This window comes from Homo sapiens, chromosome 9 (genome assembly GCF_000001405.40).
Source record: "Homo sapiens chromosome 9, GRCh38.p14 Primary Assembly".
In the NCBI taxonomy this organism is placed as follows: domain Eukaryota; kingdom Metazoa; phylum Chordata; class Mammalia; order Primates; family Hominidae; genus Homo; species Homo sapiens.
This window is the reverse complement of record NC_000009.12, coordinates 120,375,271-120,394,645: the sequence shown is the minus strand read 5'-3', so window position 1 is coordinate 120,394,645 and position 19,375 is coordinate 120,375,271. Positions and strand designations below refer to the sequence as shown.

The 19,375-nt window shown below is 52.2% G+C and overlaps 1 protein-coding gene across 17 annotated transcripts in view, besides 2 other annotated features; it reads left to right on the top strand.

The window, feature by feature from the left end:
- CDK5RAP2 (CDK5 regulatory subunit associated protein 2) overlaps positions 1–5,771 on the top strand; it is a 191,293-nt gene extending 185,522 nt beyond the window's left edge. For all 17 annotated transcript variants that reach the window (NR_073558.2, NR_073556.2, NR_073554.2 and 14 more), the window contains 3 exons: positions 8–134; positions 4,859–4,905; positions 5,354–5,771. Coding sequence is in view for 12 of the 17 variants with exons in the window: in NM_001272039.2 (NP_001258968.1) it covers positions 8–134; positions 4,859–4,905; positions 5,354–5,410 (231 nt within the window). In the remaining 5 variants the exon portion in view is untranslated. The remainder of the gene's footprint in view (positions 1–7; positions 135–4,858; positions 4,906–5,353) is intronic.
- Positions 4,041–4,541: an enhancer, noted in NCBI's record as "H3K4me1 hESC enhancer chr9:123152383-123152883 (GRCh37/hg19 assembly coordinates)". NCBI's record gives its function as "activates a minimal SCP1, AML or CMV promoter by ChIP-STARR-seq in primed H9 embryonic stem cells {active_cell/tissue: H9 hESC(primed)}" and the evidence as "EXISTENCE:reporter gene assay evidence [ECO:0000049][PMID:30033119]".
- Positions 13,929–14,137: a silencer, noted in NCBI's record as "fragment chr9:123142787-123142995 (GRCh37/hg19 assembly coordinates)". NCBI's record gives its function as "represses an EF-1alpha promoter that drives an FKBP-Casp9 reporter gene in an ReSE screen in HepG2 liver carcinoma cells {active_cell/tissue: HepG2}" and the evidence as "EXISTENCE:reporter gene assay evidence [ECO:0000049][PMID:32094911]".

Below are 19,375 nucleotides of genomic sequence, written 5' to 3'. Positions count from 1 at the left end.
TCTTTAGATTGGAGAAATGAAGGCAGAGGTCACCAAACTACATAAAAAATTGTTTGAACAAGAAAAGAAGTTGCAAAACACCATGAAGCTTTTGCAGCTGAGCAAGCGCCAGGAAAAAGTCATCTTTGATCAATGTGAGTGAGTGTGGGGGTGGCCGCTATGCCTGACCACTTCCTGCCTCCGAGGGCTCCCAGTTCTGCCCTGGATTACCCACTTTGGAGCCCAGATGGTTTGTAATCATGCCTCCTATCTGTGGGCTTCTTTTCATACTCCATCCTTTCTGACTCACATAGACAAATGTATTCACTTAACACACCTTTGTAGAGCGGCCTTTTGGTGTCAGGGACTGTCGTCTCACTGGGAGACAGTCGTGTGGCATGTGCAGTGATGGGAACATGCAGAGCACTGGGGTGGGAGTTGGGTGGCCGTCACTCTGTCCCGGCAAGGTGGGCGTCTTAGACAAAGTGACCACCTCGCTGAGTGTGAAATGAAAGCAGACGTCGTCACATGGAGCGGGGAGTGGCAGTCCCTCAGGGAAGAGCATGGACAGAGGCACAAAGGCAGGAAATAAGTTTTTGTATGTGAGAAACCAAAACCAGTCCCTGTGGGGTAAAGGCTGCAAACAGTGAATTAAGGTGGGAGGGATTGGGGGTCAGGGAGTACTTCATGAAAGACTGTAGGTGGCAGGCTCAGGGCAGAGGATTGGCCTGTCACATCTGTGTGCAAGAATGGCTCGCTGGTGGCTGCTCCACCAGTGAGGGGGAGGCTGACTCACTAGTCAGACAGGAAAGGTGGCTAGGACGCTGGGGATCCAGAGGAGGGCATGGATTTGAGAAATACTTCTCAAGGCAGATGCCGAGACTCAGGGTTGGTGAGGTTAAGTAACTTTTGTAAGGTCAGTCCCAGTTCTGATCTAGCCACTTTGGAGATTGTTTGGGAGCAGCTCTGTCTCCTGGTTTAAACCCTCAGCACTCCCTCCCGCTGCATTTAGAGGAGCAGGCGGTAGCTGAGTTTCCATTAGTGCCTGTTGGCAACATGGCCCTGGCCAAGCCTGCGCTGTCTGTGTGTCAGTTTCCCTGTCTTAAGAGAACTGCTGACTGCAGCACTTTTTCTCTGGAGGTGCCAGCCTGCCTTGTGCGGCTCTCCTGTCAAAGTCCAACATTTCTGGGGCATTTCTGAGAAGCACAGGACAGAGATTATTGCCAAGTAGGAGTTCTCCTTAGCCACCCCTGGGAACCTTCTGAAAATAGACTCTGTGAGACTGCCAGTGTTTGGACTGCAAAAGAGAGGAGCGCAGCCACTGAGCAGGCACTGAGTTCCTGTTCTTTGCCCCTTACGCCAGGTCCTGGGGACAGAGATGAACGAGACAGTCTTTGCCAGTGAGGGTCGTGGGCTTAATAGGGGAGACACAGAGCTTAGCTGCAGGACGATGTGCTGAGTGCATCCTAGGAGGCCTGAGAGGTGGTTCAAGACTGACTGGGTCTTGAAGAATGACTAGGAATTTGTCAGCGAAGGGGCAGGAATAGGATTCTGGCAGATGGCCCTGTGGACTTGCTGGTGTGCTCCCAGGGGTGAGAGAGAACTGAGTGCTCAGGGACATGCTTAGGACGTGCAAAGGGTTTTCCTCTGAGAGATGAGTGAGAGGGAGAAGCAGGAACCAGGTTGCAAGGAGCCTTGTGGACAGGACTCCAGGACGAGCAGCAGGGACCGGCGGGGTCCATGCGTGTATTACAAGATCCCATGGCTGAGCTTGGAGGGGCCAGGAGGCCGGGAAGACCTCTTTGGGGGCTGCAGCAGTCCCCCAGGTGGGCAGTGGGTCAGGACTGTGGGGGAGAAGGGATGGTTTTGAAAGATTGTAAGGAGGTCAACCTGGCAGAGTGGTGGATGTCTGTGGGGTTCTGGTTGAGGGTTTCGTGTCACTCGTAGAGAAAAAGAGCACTGAGGGGAACCTGGAGAGAGACAGTGCCAGCTGTGGTCCTGTTAAGGCAGCTGTGGAATATTTAGGTTAGACTCTTGGAGCAGCAGTGGGGTGGGGAGCAATGCTCTGCATAGGTCTAGAGAAAGGCAGAACTCTCTGCATTGGCATCTCTCCTCCTCAGCAGCCTTTGGCCCTGAACAGTCACAGGGCAGGTAGCTAACCCTATTGACAGGTGAGAAAATTGCAGAAGTAGGTTTCGATGGGTTGAGTACTGTGGTCGGTCAAAAGGACAGAACTAGAACCCAGATCCCCTGTGTCCTAGGTCAGAGAACATGGAATTATTGATTGAGCACAGTTCAGATCTCCATTCTCCTATGTGACCTGCATTAGACTAGAACCCTAAGCTTTCGATTCCTCATCTCTAACTGGAGACGTGAGTTCCAAAGGACTCAGACTAACTAGTTGGTCCCGGGTTCAATAGCAACTTTATAAAAAGCACCCCAGTTTTCTCATCTGTAAAATAAGGATGATAACGCTACCTAAACTGTATTGTACTTAGCACAGTCTCGGGGGCAGAGGAGATGCTCAACCAGTCCCTCCTCTTTCTTTCCATTAGGCCAGACCAAATCCTATGCATGGAGGTGGCAAATCATTCATAGTAAGAAGAGCCGCAAATGTCTCATAGCACTTCCCCTCCTGAGCTGGTATTGTCCATCTCCATATCTCCTAGGCCTGGCACAGAGCAGGCTCCGCCAGAGCAGGGTGAGGGGCTTGCTCCAGGCAGCATAGCTGGTGGCTGACCCGGGCCTGCAACTCCTCCTTTGCCAGGCTCTGCAGCTCATCCCAAGGAGTCAGGTCCTTGGAAATTCTCCAAGCCCTGCGGACTTCACAGACCTGCTCTGGGTCTAAAGGGACTAGGAGAAAGTTGGCATAGCACCTCCTCTTCCTCCGTCCCCTCATGGTGATGGGGAAGAGCAAAGGCCAGGGCTGATTGCTACCTGGTCAAACTGACACCATACCTTCTCAGAGTCTACAGGGGAAAGTAAGGAAAAGGCATCCCAGTGGGACCCTAAGAGTCCTGATGCCCTGGGGCCACTCACTGGCCATGTGACCTGGAACCAGCTGCCTCAGGTCCTCATTTGCAAAGCGAGGACAGTAGTTCTGCCCCATAGGGTGGGGGAGTATTCAGTGAGGCCACCGTTGGAAACCACCTGTCACCAGGTCAACACTGCTCAGCTCAGGTCGGTACCTTCTTCCCAGCACTCTGCTGAGGTGGGAAGAACCATGGACTGAGTTGGGCAGGCCCACATGTGAGTCCCAGCTCTGTGCTGGGGCCAGTCTAGATTTGGGACGAGTCCTTTGTCGCTGTGTTCCTCGGTCTTCTCCTTGCAGTGGGGATTTCTGTGCTTTGGAACGTGGCAGTGCTGTTGAGGTGTAGGGGTCCCCTCAAAGCTTGAGCCAAGTGATCCTTAGTTCTTCTGCCATGAGCTTTGTTCTCTAGGGACATGGAGTGCTCTTTCACAATCATCTTCAACCTCCACAGCTGTGATACTTAATCTTTTCTGGGTCTCAGGCCCCTTGGTGAATCTGGAGAAAGCTGTGGTCTCTCTGTGGAAAAATGCGGACGTCCAGATACATACCCCCATTTGCACACAGTGTCGGAGGGTTTAGGACTGACCCCCCAAACATATCCAGGGCCCCATGTCAGGAACTTTGCCCTGCAGCAGGAGGTCAGGTTGGGGTAGAGGGGCAGTGGCCACCTCTGAAAGTCGTTTTGCTTGGCTAAAAACAAAGTCCACACCGTCTGTCCCGTCCCCAGTGTCACAGATTGCAAATAAACTCCATTACCTCCAGATGGAAATTTTCGTGAGGCAAGAAATCAATATTTTCTCAAGGCCACCACACGACAGACACCTATTCTGAAGAAGCCACTGGGGAGTCAGGCTATGTGTGTTGGGCGTTGAGTCTGTTACAGCCTCTGGCACTGTTGGCTAAAGGCGCGGCTCCAGAAGCCTTTGGTATTTCCAACGTGGGGAGTAAGCTGATCTTACTCTCACCAAGCCCTGTTGAGAACAGATTCCCTATCAGGCTCAGAACTCTGATCAAGAGGGGCATTCTTGCCACTGCTGGAGTTTGTGTTGGACAAGAAAAAGCCTGAAGGAAGACCCACCTTTACAGTTGCTCCTGAAAGCCAGGGCTCGCCTGCCCCTCCTGGGAATTCTCATGCACGGGGGATCTTTCTAGTACAGTGCTCCGGGCGTCAGTGTCAGCAGGGACCTCTGAAACCATCCCACCCAACCAGCTCTTGTCCAGGCAGAATGTGACTTGCCCAGAGGAATCAGGCTGGGCTATTCCACCAGCTAAAGGGCAGGCAAAGGAGAAGCAGCATGCCCACGGTTTTTTCTTCCAGGCCATTTGGAGCTGGCTCTAAGAGCTGCTGGGTAAAAACCTGGCTTCGTAGAACTTGGACCCTCATATGTGGGTCTGCCTGATCGGGGCACAGTCCCTTCCCACAGCTGCTTCCCAGAGGGCCTAGGAAACTAAAGAGTGCTGGGCAGGCCCAGGCCTCTACCCTCCCTGCGCCATTGCCCTCCCTGGCCCACAGAAGTGAGCCTGAGGGATACCTGGACAGCCAGGTGGCCGTGCACAGCTGTAGGGTGTTCTCTGAACCGGCATAGCATGCTGTAGCCTCTGCATCACTGTCAGGTGGTGGCTTAGCGGGGCCTCAAAGAGGTGTTGTTGATGCGTTATTTGGCCCTGGGGTTTGTGATGGGTCAGGTGGGCCCTTTGTACCTCCCTCTGGTCTGGATGCTTCAGACCTCGTGTTGTCTACATGTCCGAGCCCTTTGGGGTGGGGTTCATCCTCCCTGCACTTGGCTTTCACACAGCTCTCCTGGATATCCATGGCCCTAATCATTGCATTCTTTGCTCTCTCCTCAGTGGTCGTAACCCACAAAATCCTTCGGAAGGCCAGAGGAAACCTGGAGGTATGCCCTTTGAGTCTTTTCACTGCAGGCCAGTGGAAGGTCAGGAGGAGTGCAGGGCCAGAAAGGACCTCTTGAAAAATGAAGGTGCAGGTGGAACCAGGGGACATGTCCTCCTCAGAGAGTTGTTTCTGCCAGCAGTGCATGAAAAGTTGTGTTTTATCATGCCCTGTCGCCAGTAGGGGTTCTAAGTTTTAAATTTGTATGCTATTTTTACCAGTAAGAAATACAGCAAACAATGCTTGACACATAGTAGGCATTTGATGAATATTTCTTGAATGAATGAATACAGTATGATCTCATCGTTGTTTATTAGGTAAATATTTACTGACCAAACTATGTTTTTGAAAGCACTTTGAGAATAACAGTCTCGCTTTCACCTCTGTCGGGGTCTTACTTCAGAAACCTCCTTTGGACTTAAAATTCTCCTTTTTTTTCTTCCTTTTCCTAGCTTAGGCCTGGGGGAGCCCATCCAGGAACATGCAGTCCCAGCAGACCAGGCTCCTGAGAAGAACTTTCAGCCAATAAAGCTTGTGCTTCCCCCACCGAGCTCACGCTGTCTCTTTGTTCCAAGTGTGGTTCCTATTTATTGAGGAAGAAAGAGCTGTCTGGCCAAAGGAAATCTATTTTTTCCCTTCATGTTTTCTCTCTGAAAGTTGGCTTGAGAGTTGTTGTCAGAAAGGTGCAGGTGCTCCACAAACGGGTGGTAAAAAGGCCTCGAGCTCTTGGATGTTGTATTTCAGATCAGGGGCAGGCACCGGAGTTGAGGCTGTGCGCCTTGGTGGGCTTCACGTCTTCCCCTGGATTTGCTTAGTACTCAGCCAGTGCCACAGTTTGAAGATTCTCATTAAATGATTCATTTCATTTCACCTTGACGATTCTGTTGTTTTGTGTGGCGCCTCAAAGCCCAGGTCCCAAAATCCCAAGTGGGACAGGCCAGGGTTCCACGAGTCGCATGGCTCACTGCTGAGCTCGTTCAAGTGTCCAGAGAAGAGCACCTCCGTGCAGCGTGGCCATGGGCACTGGTGTGTGCTCAGCATCTCACAGTCTGCTGGACAGCAGCCCTTGCAGTGGTGCCATTCCCGATTTAGCAAAGAGCAGAGTGAGGCCCAGAGCTGGAATGTGGCATTTGCATTGTTCCCGTGATGACAGGGGTGTGTCATCAGCCATCCACATCGCTGCCTCTGACCAAGATGCCCCCAGCCAAAACACTTTAGCGGCTTCCCACTACCCTCTGATCCAAGCCCGAGCCCCTAACAAGGTTTACAAGCCTTGCTGGCACCTCCAGCTCCTTGCCCATCTCGCCTCCTCCCGCTCCACTCTGTGTTCCAGGCAAACGGAACAGTGTTCTCCCCAGTCTAACCCAGGCTGCGCCCTCTTGGACATGCTCCTCCCACCCTTTCTTTTTCTAGTTAGCTTTGAATGGTCCTTTAGAAATATTTTTTCTGCCCTTGGGGAAGCCTCTCCTGACCCGATACTAGGTGAAATGCCCCACCTCTGCTCCCGCAGCCCCCACACCACTGTGCAAATCCTCTGAGCCCCTGGAGAGCAGAGGCTTGTGTTGACCATGGAATTGCCAGCACCTGACCTGGCGCCCAGCTCCCCAGACACGATGGTGAGGGGAGGAGACGGGATTGCACTTGCTGGAAGCGTAGGGTGCAGCAGCCCCGGCTGGGAGTCCGGGGAGTGGCCTCATGCCACTTTGCCTGTCTCCCCATCCATTAAGAGAGGGGCGGAGGAAGTGGGCAGTACAGACCCTTTCTGCTTCGGTTCCTGCCATCTGTGCTCTTCCTGAGAAATATTTGCACAGGTGTACCTCGGTAGAATACGTACCAGTGTGTGAAAACTCAGATTGAGCCATAATGTCACTGGAGTGCCTTTCGCAAGCAGTCACAACAGTTGACTTCCTAAATGGAAGCTGGGTCGGTGTGGCGCTGTGGAGCAGGAGGCCTGGTTCCCGTCCCGAGTCTTGTGCTTCTGTAAATGAGAGTTACTCTTGTCCAGTACTGTTACAGAGTTCGGAGCCTCAGATTTTGAAAGCAGCTGAACAACAAGGCCCTTTCCACAAATCGGTGACTCTTCTTCACTGTCTCAGTGGCTGGTCTTAAGCAAGTTTTAAAGTACTGTTTTAAGTTCTATGGCTGTGTTGTGCCAAACCCCTATTAACCTCAGTAGGGGAGGCACCAGGTTCAAGGGGCCTGAGAAGAGACCCACAGAGCCAGCAAACAGGATGTGGGCTTTATTAGGGGCTTACATACAGGGGAACAGTCCAGAGGCGGCAGGCTGGACAGGAGAACTGCTTTTCGTACAGAAACAGATGGTTCAGTGGCAGCGGCTGAACAACACAGCCCACGGCCCAGGTGGGGCAGGAAAACCATCACCACTTATAAACAGCATGCAGTTTATATAGCATTTTCACTTAACCTTCCCCCAAGGACCTCTACCTGGGAACCTTTTTTTAACCCAAAACTCAGGGCCTCAGTTCCCTGTACAGCCCATGTCCCATGAGACGGGCTTGGGGGCTCAGATACTCCTCACAAACAAGGAACAAATCTCCGGGTTGGCCACTCCTAGATTCTCTAGCTCAGAACAACATTAAGACGCGTCTGCCATACAGGGTCGTTCTAAGGTTGTGCTTAAGCTATTGCTGTCAGGGTGTTTACCCTCCAGGCAGGTGTGCGCAAATGTAAGCATGTGTGGTTGCGGGGGCAGTGGGGAGGAGGGGAGGAGGTTGTACAGTGTAGTAGATGCAGCTCAGGCAAGGCCTGGAAGTCAGACCTGGGCTCAGATGTCCCCACAGGGGAAGAGTCCTACCTTGCCTGGCACATGGTCAGTGCACAGCCCATGGGAGCTGAACTTGGTCATTGGCAAGGGCTTGAGGTGCAGGGATTGGAGGAGAGATCCACATTGGATTCTGGTACATCCCAGGCCCGTCTGGTTGGTGAACCCAGGCACGCCTGGAGCAGGAGCTGCAGAGGAGGGGCTCCAGGAGCCCAGCTGGCCATTTGCTTCAGGTCACCCACAGCTTTTCAGGAACACAATAATCTAAAACGAAGTGCATTTTTATCCGCCAGTTTAGAGTCACGTAAAATACTTTCAACCTTGGGCTAGTGAAGGCCCTCCCTCTTCTGGGAGGTGGAGGAGCAGCCTGGTTTGTTTGGGCTGGATTAATGCCAAGAACAAACTGCAAATAAGACAATTTGGACCTTGGAAAAAGCTCCATTGTCCCTGGTGAGTTAATTTTACCAGCAGCTGAATTCGGGAGGCTTTGAAGCAGTAATCAGAAAATGCGTCAATTTCCCTTCAGTGAAATTAATCACCACGTGTGCTGGAGGAGCTGCACCTGAGAGAAACAGCTGCAGGGACTAAATATATAGTGAGAGGATTGGGAGACAGGCCCAGGGCCCCCTGCTTGCCCTACCTTGGAAATGGTGCTTTTATCTCACTTCCGAGGCCCACATCCCAACGTCCCTATCGGGGTCCTGGAGAGTAAAATCCTCGCGCCTCAGGCCGGCGCTCACCTGGGATGGCAGTAGCCACACTGTGCATCTCAGTAATCTGCACCACCTCACCCATTTTACAAATGAGAAGACTGAGGGATGTAGCCAGAATTTGAACCTGAGTCTGTTAAAACCTGATGTCCCTTGGATTATCAGTATTCCCCCAAAATGCCATCTCTTCGAGAAACTGCAGCATTTCCCTGTTACAAATCGAAGTATTCTCAGTCTACCCTTTCCAACAAAATGTCTCTGGATGACCAGAGCAGGAGCCCAGAGACCCACAATTGAATTCCTCAACACAGCAGCCCCGAGAACTGCTTGTAAGTGGGTGGTGGAAGGGAGAAAGAGTGATCTTGTTAATAAGTTCTCGGCATTGTGGAAACCGAGAAACCTGCCTGGGGGATCCGGCCCTGCCAAATTGCCTCTTCAATCTTGGCCATATTTTAAGGCTAACTCAAAAATGCAATTATCAAAATCACTCATCCCATCTCCTGAGAAGCCCCGGACTCTGCCTCAGGGGCTAGACCTGTTTACCTCTTGCCACAGATGGGTGCCAGGTAGGATGGGGGTGAGCAGATCCAGAGACCCGGCTCCCCAGGTGGGGCCTTCTAGTGGAACCAAGCCTCGGTTTCCTTATTCACAAAAATTATGAGATGTGGAAAGATATACAGTGGCTAACTGTGAGGCCCAGACATGGCCAAATTGCAGGGGTTCATCTATTCACCTCAGTGAAGGGTCTGCCTTTGGCCAGCAGCACATGCTAGAGACATCCTTGCACCTCCTCCCTCACCCTCCATATCCCATCCATGATCAGGGCCACTCTCTCCACTTGTATCTCCCAAGGCCATCGCTTCATTCATCTCCAGTGCCACCTCAGTCCAAGTGACCATTAACTCTCACCTGGACAGCTTACTGTCCAGTTGGCCTCCCACATCCACCCACCCCTCCAAATGTCTGCCAGACCACAGCTAGAGTGATTCTTTAAAAGGGAAAGCAAATCATACTATCCCCCTTGTTTAAAATATGGGATGCCTCTCACCACACCTAGTGTGGTCAGCAAGCCCTCAGTTCCCTGAGCCCCCCTGTCTGCCTTCTTGGCTCCCTGTGCTCTAGTCTCTTAGGGCTTTTGTCTCTGTCCACAGGACCTTTGCACATGCTGCAGCCTGCCTAGCATGCTCTCACCGTGGCTTCTCCTGCTAGTCAGAGATGGCTTCCCGATCAGGAGCCCCTATTCTGCATGATCAGAGCGTGATGATCCCCCCTCACTGGCACTTGGCCGCTGTGTGACTTTGGGTTCTTCCTCTCCCTGTCATTGACCTGAAGCTCCGTGAGAACACAGACCTCATGTGATTTGCTCACACCAGCCCCGCTGCCTGGGACAGGGCCAGCAAATATATTCACTCAGCAAACATTGCCAAAGCTTCGCCAGCCTCCTTCTGGAGGAACTCAGGTTGGTCGGGAGAACAGACAAGTAATATAGTGAATAGGGAACATTTGCTTAGACCTGGGGTCCTGGGAGCCTGGCTGTCTTTGGAACATCATCATAGGCAGTCATTGTGACAGCCCTGGGTGGGAGGGACTGCTTTTTTCATATGAAGGACTGGGGCACAGAGTGACCCGCCCAAGATCACACAGCTTCAGATGGAGGCCCGTAGGCTACAGAGCCCAGCTCCCTGCCGCTGCGTGTGAGTGCAGTTTAGTTTGGCGAGTGCCCAGGCAGCTGGTCAGGCTGGAGTGCAGCCCACACTGGCAGCGTCTGCTTCCACTTGCGGCCCACTCAGGCAGTTCCTGCCAGTGGTCCAAAGTCCAGCCCTGCTCCTGGTGAGGCCCAGAGGGGCCTCATCCTCGCTGGGAGGCAGGCAGTTGGAGTTGCTTCTGACTCAACCTTTTAGACCTCTTTGTCCTCAGGGTTGCCCAAGTCCCCTCTTTTCCCATTGACCCCATTCCCTGGGAAGCCGCCGGCCTTGCCTGACCCGAGAGGGCAGCACTGGGCAGGGCTCACCCCTCCAGCTGGATCACAATGGGACTAAGTGCATGGTGGCTACCAAGCGCCCTCCCACACGTGCTTCTCTCAAATGCGAAAGCACCTCCTTGTTAACAGGCATTCACGGGAGAGCTTAATTACATGGTTTCAGGTCTAAAACGACCCTCTGTTTGTATTAATGCCACTTTCTCGTTCCAAACAGAACAGCATGTGGTCCCAGCTCGTGTGTGACACTGGCCGACGGTGTGGGCAGACACAGGGAAATAAGAGAACAAGGTCGCCCTGGCCTCGCCCTCTTCTTTAGCCAAAACAATGGTGGGGTCGGGGGCCACAGACAGAGAGTGACCAGGCCCAGGGCTCCTTTGTGGTGGAAGCCAGTGGCTGGGAGCCCACCTGGAGAGTGTGGAGTGGGTGTGGGAGGGAGAGACAGGTGGGCGAGGTGTGGACACTCAACATAGGAAAGTATTTGGAGACAGTCACAGTTACACACTCAACATCTGCTGGCACCTACCCAAGCCCAGAGCTCCCAGAGCCCCGCGGGCCCCCGAGGCACTCCCAGTCAAGCATGGGAGACAGGCCAGCACACAGGTGATCCGTGGTCGTGATAAATGGTCACAAGGGGCCGTGGGCACCCAGAAAATGAGCTCCTACTCGGCCTTGGAGGTGAGCAGGGAAGGTGTCCTCGGGTGACCCTGGATGAACAGTAAAGGCCAACTGGGAATTGTGGGGTGGAGAAGGGGTGGGGGTGGGGCTCCTAGGCAGAGGAAACAGCAGGGACTAGGGTCTGTGAGTGGTGCATTGGTCTGGCTAGAGCTTAGAATTCAGTCAGCGGCATAGGCAGTGCCTCCAGTGGCAGCTTGAGGCGGGTGGGTGTCATCGGGAGCAGCAGGGGAGGCACGGGTAAGTTTTTGTCTGGGAAGGGGTTGGGGGATGTTGCCGAGTGTCCAGGGTGCAGGCTGGAGTGTCCTCACCTGGTCAGGGGCCGGCAACAGAGAGGCAGGGTGGATTTGGGACACTTATGAGGACCTGAGGACCCGTGTGTGTGTGTGTGTGTGTGTGTGTGTGTGTGTGTGTGTGTGTGTGTGTGTGTGTGCGCGCCCTGGCGGCGGGGGTGAGGAGGAGAGGGTCCATGCTGCAGGTTTCTGGCCCAGCCAGTGGTGTGGGCACCTCCACAGAGAAAGAGCAGTACGGAAAGTATGGAACAGTATGGAATGCCAACTGCATCTTTCAAGGTGGGCAGAATCTACAGGGTTGTGGTAGGGGAGGAAACAGCCTGTGCAAAGGCATGGAGGCCACTGAGGGACCCATGGTAGTGGAGTGTGGCCGGGGCATGAAACACGAGGTTGGACACAAGGTACTGGAGATTTGGGCCTTTTTTGTGTGTGTGGCATTGGGAAAACAATGGTGATTATTCCAGCGATGAAGGAGAAAGCCCTGGGAGGAGGCAGAAAGAAAACTCTAGACGAGAGGCCAGTCAGGGGAGGGGGTGAGGGACTCGGTCATTGCCCAGGCAGTGAGCCCCATGGCTGTGAGGACACAGAAGCCCACTCTCTTCTCGCTGCTGTTGCAGGAAGGCTGATGGCAAGAAAGGAACCCGGCCTCCTACTCAGATGAGGCCAGGGGGTGGCCTCCCCGGGGACTACCTGGGACTCCTGTTTTACCTGCAGTCTCCTGGCCCCACCTCTAGTGAGCCAGTGACCCAGCCGCAGGCAGCTCCTCTGTCTGGAGACAGGACAGTGGTCCAAGCAACTGCCTAGCAAGGGGCTGTGTCACAGAAACAGAGGTGATTTGAACTCTCCCAGCCTCAGTTTCCAGCCTCACCTTTAAGGTGGGGGTAACGACTTTTTTCTACCCAAGCCTCCTCCTCCCTGGAGAGTTCCCTGTCTTTGAGTTCAGAGCTCCTCCAGGCTCTGCAACAGGCCATCCTGTCCTCCCCCCAGCCCAGCGGATTCTGCTTCCTTCTTCTTTCCACTCTGTCGTATCCTCTCCTCTCCTCTCCTCTCCATGTCCACCTCCTACTTAAACACCGCTTGCCTGCAGCCAGCCTGGGCGCCTCCGGCCTGGGTGAAGGAAGCAGTCTTCTCACGGGTCTCCCTGTCTCCTGCGCATGCACCCACCCCTCACTGTCTCTGCCCACATCCAGGATGATCTTGTCAATTGCAAGACAATCATGTCACTTCTCTGCTTGCAAACCCTCCCAAGACCAAGTCCCCACTCCTCCACTGCATCCAAGCCTTCCCATCTGGCCTTGGCCTTCATCTCCCATAGATCGGGGCTTGTCCTTGATGATCTCCCCGGCCCCCATCCATGAAGTTGCTATTCTTGCCACACTTCTTGCAGGCCCCTGAGACCATCTCCTCGGCATCCTGCAGCTCTGGGCTTTGCACCTGCGTCTACTGTTCTGAAATGTCCGTCACCCACATCCTGGGCCTGACTCACTCCCACTCATCTTTACCTCAGGCATCACCTCTGGGCCTTCATCCTTTATGCCTCAATTCGTCTCCCTATAACAGGGGTATGATCCCTTGTAACTGGAGATGGTCTTAGGGTCTTAATTGACTACAAGCAACTAAGTTAACTGAGACCAAAGAAGAAGTCTAAAATGCTAACGATGCCTTGGCTGCATTAATAGAGATACAGAGTCCAAACAAGAGAGGTGAATTATTTGGCTCTTGTCAGACCTCCATGACTTGTCCAACTGTTCTGTGGGCCTTGTGATCATTTCCTGTGCCTTGCTTTAGGAAGGATATTGACAAAGTGGATCATATCATTGATACTTTCACCTCAGTTCACTGAATTTGCTTGCCATTCGTCAAACATGTATATGCCAGGCACTACAGGTGTATAGTCACATTTAATGCCATAAAGCATTATGATCTCCTTTGTACAGATGAAGAGGAAGTCACAATAAGTCAGGTATTGTAATGATAAAATAGCGCCTGTGGTAGGCAGAACAACAGCCCCTAAAGATGTCCATACTCTAATCCCGGAACCTGTGAATATGTTACTTTATATGACAAAAGGGAATTTACAGAGGTGATTAAAGTTAAAGACCTTGAGATGGGAGATCTTTCTGGATTATCCAGGTAGGCCCACTCTAATTCCATGGTTCCTTAAGGGAGAAGAACCTTTCCCAGCTGTGGCCAGAGAGAGATGTGACACCAGGGAAAGGATCAGAGAGTGGCTGAAGACAGAGGGAGGGGCCAAGAGTCAAGGAACATAAGTGACTTCGGGAAGATGGAAAATGCAGGAAACAGAATCTCCCCTAAAGGCCCCAGAAAAACAGCATAGTCCTGCCTACTCCTTGATTTTAACCCAGTGAGACCCATGTCAGACTTCTGCCTATGGAACTGTAAGATGATAATAAATGTGTGTTGTTTTAAGCCACAAGGTTTGTGCTGATTTGTTATGACAGCGGTAGCAAATGAATCTCGTGCCTCAGTCAGTACAAGTTTGATCATATAAATTTAGAGATGATATGTATATGCTTGTAGTGTGTAATTTCCTAATGACAGGGGCCACTGAATAGATAACCTGTGAGGTAGTGAGCTCCCCATCCCTGGAGATATGTTACAGAGGCTGTCTGCTAGCTGTTGATGATGTTGTAGAAGGGATTTCTTCTCAGTGGGCAGGTGCTTGGACCAAGGACTTCCTCCAGAGAGTCTTCAGAGATTAGAGTGAGAAGCCACGTGGCCCAGGATTGGAGGAGGTTTTGCTTCTCCCTGCCGGCTGGGAGGCCTGTCACCACCCATAGGGTCTCCCTTTAGGCACGTTATTATATATGGTTCCAGGACTCCATTACTTCAGAATGCTTGTATGTAATGTATTGAAGGAATTATTGAAATGTGTAATTACAGTGTGCATTGTATTCTATTATATTCATTTGATGGAACTGTGCTCCATAATATCTATTCTCATATAAAAGACTCCACCATTAGAGTGTTATATTGTGTGATGATAGTTGTCCTTCAGCAGACACTGTCTCCTGTCTTCACCCAGTTCCCTTTCTTCTTCCCAACACTCCTGCTACCATGAAACTGGAATACCCCAACTTCCCAGGTGAGAAGGCACTTTGGGGTGATTGGGTCCACCCCACATTAGACAGATGGAGAAGGTGAAGCCCTGAGGCCAGAGCTGGTAACGCCAGCATCTCCCAAGTCCCAGCCAGTGTCCAGCCTGTGGTTCCCAAACACCTGTGAATTGGAACCGTTTGTTCAAAAAGAAATCTTGTGTGGAACCCCAATATACAAAGCAGATGGGTCAGCTCTAGGGCAAGCCAAGATGGGCCCCCCAGGGTCCTGAGTGCTTGGGAGCACACTAAGCCTCACCCCCACTCTGAGGTCCCTCTACCAAACATTAGGGCTTCAAGGGACATCCCGTGAAAACCAGTGCCTCAACCCCTTCCTGGTCCAGATGGGAAAAATGAGTCCCTGAGTGTGGCGAGTGCTTGCCCGAGATCACACCCCGAGCTGGAGGCAGAGCTGGGATCAGCACTCGTGTCTTCTCAGCCTGTGTCTCTCCATCTCAGCTGCATCGAGAACCCTGGCTGTTCTCAGCTCTGGCTGCGTTGGAATTACCAGGGACTCTTCAGCATGAGGATCAGAATCCTGGTCCCACAGACTGCGGTGTGATGAGTCTGTGGCAAGGTGCAGGGCTTCTTGTTTTTGAAAAGAGCCCCTGAGGCTCCTGCTGCACAGAGCAAGTTAAGAATATCTTCCTCCTAAACATTGCTTTGGTTTGTGCTCCTCACTGCATCTCCCCGCTCTGCCATAAGTCAGGCCCCATCACCTGCAGTTGTCATCTTTCCACAAATATTTACAGAGTAGGCACTGTCCTGGGCCCTTGGGATAAAACAAAGGCCCCTGCTTAGATTTTAGCAGTGGACGCCTGTAATAAGCCCATGGTCTCCTCTGTTAGAGGGGAAATGTGTTATGGCAAAAGGGGCTGGAGTGCGGGGTAGGGGAGGGTGGTAGAGGGGAGCTGGTGTTAGGATCTAACTGGGCGGGGACAGGACAGGGGATCCTAGTGGAAAGGGGATGTGAGCAGAGAAAAGTCATCCCAATACCTCCATTGCCTGGATCTGTGCAGTAGCATATTGAGAACAGAAAATGAGAAAATACTGCTCTCCCAGGTTGCCTGCCTTGTCATTGGGTTCTGAAGCCACCCTGCTTGGGCTGGGTTATCACAGTTCCTCTGCCTTCTGCCTGCAGCCTTGAAGTGAACGGCGGTCAGATCTAGGCCTGGGCTGGGCTGGAGACAGTCTCCTCCTATCTCCACCCCAGAGCCATGGAGCCTCAGCTTCATGAGTCTTTTTCTCCAAAGTCCTGCTGGCTGTGACATTAACCCATGTAAGCAAATGCCTCTGGTTCATTGGAGGAGTCAGACATGGAAGCTCGGATTGCAAAGCTCTACACACAGTCTCAGTTCTTACAACATCACTGTGTGGCTGGGTTTAATTCTCCCATTTTTCAGAAGAATAAATAAAGCTCAGTGAGGTTAATCCACTTGCTTAGAGTCATGTACCCAGTAAATCGAGGAGCTGATAGTGCAGCCAGATCTGTTTGACTGTTTCTACTACGTCGTGTCACCTCACTAAATGTTTGCTGAACTGCTGAGTGGAGGTGTGGAGTATTAGGCTGTCTGAGTTAAAATCCTCAGAGTGGCAATTTAGAGCGTGTTATTCAAATCCAGCCGACTCCTGTTTTACAGTAACCATCATCAAAGGCTGCTGTTAACGGGAGCCCACATCTTCCTTTGTGCATTTGAAAAAAATCCATCTTAAAGCCATCACGCCCGTGCGGTGACCACGGAGGAGTCAGTAGGAATTAAATCTGAAGCCAGAAACAGGAAGAAGCCAGAGGAAGGTCATCTTTTGAAATGACAAAGAGGTGCTGTTTTCTCAGTCGGGTAGGCCCAGCTACTGTAGCACCAACTGGGCCGCGAATTTTAATTCCAATCTCTGCAGCTGCTAATGTGCTTGTCGCTTGGAGAATAGACACTAATTGACAAGCAACTAAATAAATAACGTGTAACATGAAAGCAAACACAAGCTTTAAAAGAGAAAAAAAAATAGCAAAAAGGATGAAATTAAAAATGCGGGGGGTTGAACGGTGTTTTCCACACTCCATTAAAGTGACATCAAAAGGCTTTTCAAAATATTTGTTTTATGGTGAAGATAGAGTTAGGAATCATCTGAGCTCCTGTCCCCACGCTGCTGCGCTGGAGATCAGAGGTGGCGCAGTGAGAAGAGGAGAGAAGATTCTTCAAAAGGAGCTGGAGAGACGCAAGCTGCGTGCCTGAGGGATGACGTGTCAGCCTCTTGGTCTTACAAGGGGACAGACCGAGGTCCAGAGAGGCTCAGTGGAGCACCAGAGTCACCCACTGGGTCCCTGGGAGGTTAAGCCTCTGGTATGGATTGAATTGTGTCACCCCAAAAGATATGTTGAAGTCCTAACCCCTAGTACCTCAGAATGTGACCTTGTTTGGAAATGGGGTCGTTGCCGATGTAATTAGTTAAGATGAGGTCATACTGGAGCAGGGTGGACCCTTGGTCCAGTATGGCCGGTGTCCTTGTAAGAAACGGGAGAGAGGGGAGAAGAGCACCATGTGAAGATGCAGACACAGCAAGAAGATGGCCACGTGACCACAAGCCACGAGGCAGGGACAGATTCCACCCCGAGCCTCAGACGGAGCACGGCCCTGCTGACACCTGGGTTTCAGACCTCTGCCCTCCAGAACTGCAAGAGAATAGACTTCCGTTATTCCAAGCTGCTGAGTGTGTGGCGCTTTGTTCCAGCAGCCCTAGGAAACAAATCCAGCCTCTGCCGCCTGTGCTCCTGCTCCCCACTCTGCCCCCAAGGTGGACACAAGTCCCGCATCCTGGCTGGAGGCACTGCTTCTCAGACCTCCCCTGACGTCCTCCCGCCAGTTGTGCTCTGATCATATAGCCATGAAATTTCACTGACATTCCCCCATTTTCATTATTCATGTAGTTCTTGCTACCTAGACTACAAGAATCTTTTCAAATTTCAATTCGATTTGTTCAACAAGAACTTCTTGAGCTTCTTAGCCAAATATGCCTGCCTTTCCCAGGAGCCACCAGCCCTTCTCCCCTCCTTCTCCACTCCCTCCAGACTGGCCGTGGGGCTCCCTTGCTTTTCCCTAAGCACGCCCGACATCCTCTGCTTCAAAGACTGGCCGCTTTCTCTGCTGGAATCCCCTTTCCGCAGACATCCGTGTGGCCTAGCCTCTCACCTCCTTGAAGTCACCGTCTCAATCAGGACTACACTGACCACCCATCCCTATTCATAATCCCAACCTGCCCCTGTGTACCTGGTGCCACTTAGCTGGCTTCGTGCTGTGTGATTTTTGTATGTGTTATGCTTATCCTTGGTCATGTTTTCCCGCCATAGACTATAAACTCCATGAGGGCAGGGACTCCTCTGTGTTGCTCACCTAGAATGGTGTCCGCTGCTCAGTAGATACTTGTTGATGAGTGACACTCTCCCTATGGTAGGCCCAGGGCTGGGCACTGGGGAGGCTGATATGTGGTCCTTAAATAGCTCACAGCATCCTAGGGGACTAGCATGTGCTGACAATTCCAGCTCAGGTGCTACGAGCAGCAATAGGCTGACTGCCATGGCAGACTGAGGAGTGGTGAGTCCAGAGGGGTCTTCCAGAGGAGGTGTTGTCTATAACAAGTAGGCAGGTGGTGGTAGGAGGGGCTGGCCTAGGGGCACAGTATGCAAAAGCGTGGAGGCAAGGAGAATGGTGAGGTCCCATCCCCACGAGACATGACGGGGTGCTGTGGTGAGGCTGTGCGTGAAAGATGGCAGGGTGGGAGATGAGCCCGGATGGGCAGTGGGGCCTGAGCCTGACTGAGGGCTTCGTATACCCATGGCTTCATCCTGGGGTGAGGCAGGGACAAGTCATCTCCAGGTTGCAGAACATCCACTTCTAGCCCCTTCCCCCACCGGGCTTAGTATCAATCCACTGGAGACAGTTCCCGCCACATCAGGCTGAGCTCCTCCTTTCTCCCAGCTCTATGAGCCCAATCATACCACTTGGAACTCTTGGGTGACAAGTGACAGAAACCCCATTCAAAGGAAGTTAGACCTGGAAGGGGTTTAAGTGTCTTGTGTAACCAACTGGGAGGGGCAAGGGTGGGGCAGCCTCAGAAGGGGCTGGAAGCAGGACCTCTCCATGCTACTCAGTGCTCCGTACCTCTACAGGCGACTCACATCTCTCCTAGGTGGGCTGGGAGTGGGGGCCACATAGTGGAGCAGCATCCATGCTCACACTGTCTTCTTCTTTTTTATTTTTATTTTTTTGAGACAGGGTCTCCCTCTATCACTCAGGCTGGAGTGCAGTGGCACAATCTCGGCTCACTGCAACCTTCACCTCCTGGGCTCAAGCGATCCTCCCACCTCAGCCTCCCAAGTAGCAGGGACTACAGGTGTGCCCCACCGTGCCCAGCTATTTTTTTTTTTTTTGGTATTTTTTTTGAAGAGACAGGGTTTCACCATGTTGCCCAGGCTGGTCTAGAACTCCTGAGCTCAAGGAATTCACTCACCTCCCAAAAGTGTTGGGATTCCAGGTGTAAGCCTCGGCCCATGCTCACACATTCTCAGCTTCATAACCAGAGAGGAAAATGCTCTCTGCCTGCAGCTGTGAGAACAATCCCAGGGAAGGAACCAAGTGGCTCCAACCGAGTCGTGAGTCTACCCAGCAAACACCCCCGTGGCTGAGAGTAGGGTCCTGGGTGAAGCAAGCACCTCTCATTTGGACTCCTCACAAGGGCAGGGTGTGGGGAGCTGAGTTAAGGGGAGCAGATCCCCACACAAGGGTGGGAGGGGGGAGACATTTACCAGAGCACTGGGCAGACTCAAATGGTGTCATGTAGGACCTGTCCAGGCAGCATCTAGGTCTAATCAGAGACCTCCAAGTCACCATTTGCAACAGACCCCATCTAGGTACCAGGGTGAAGATC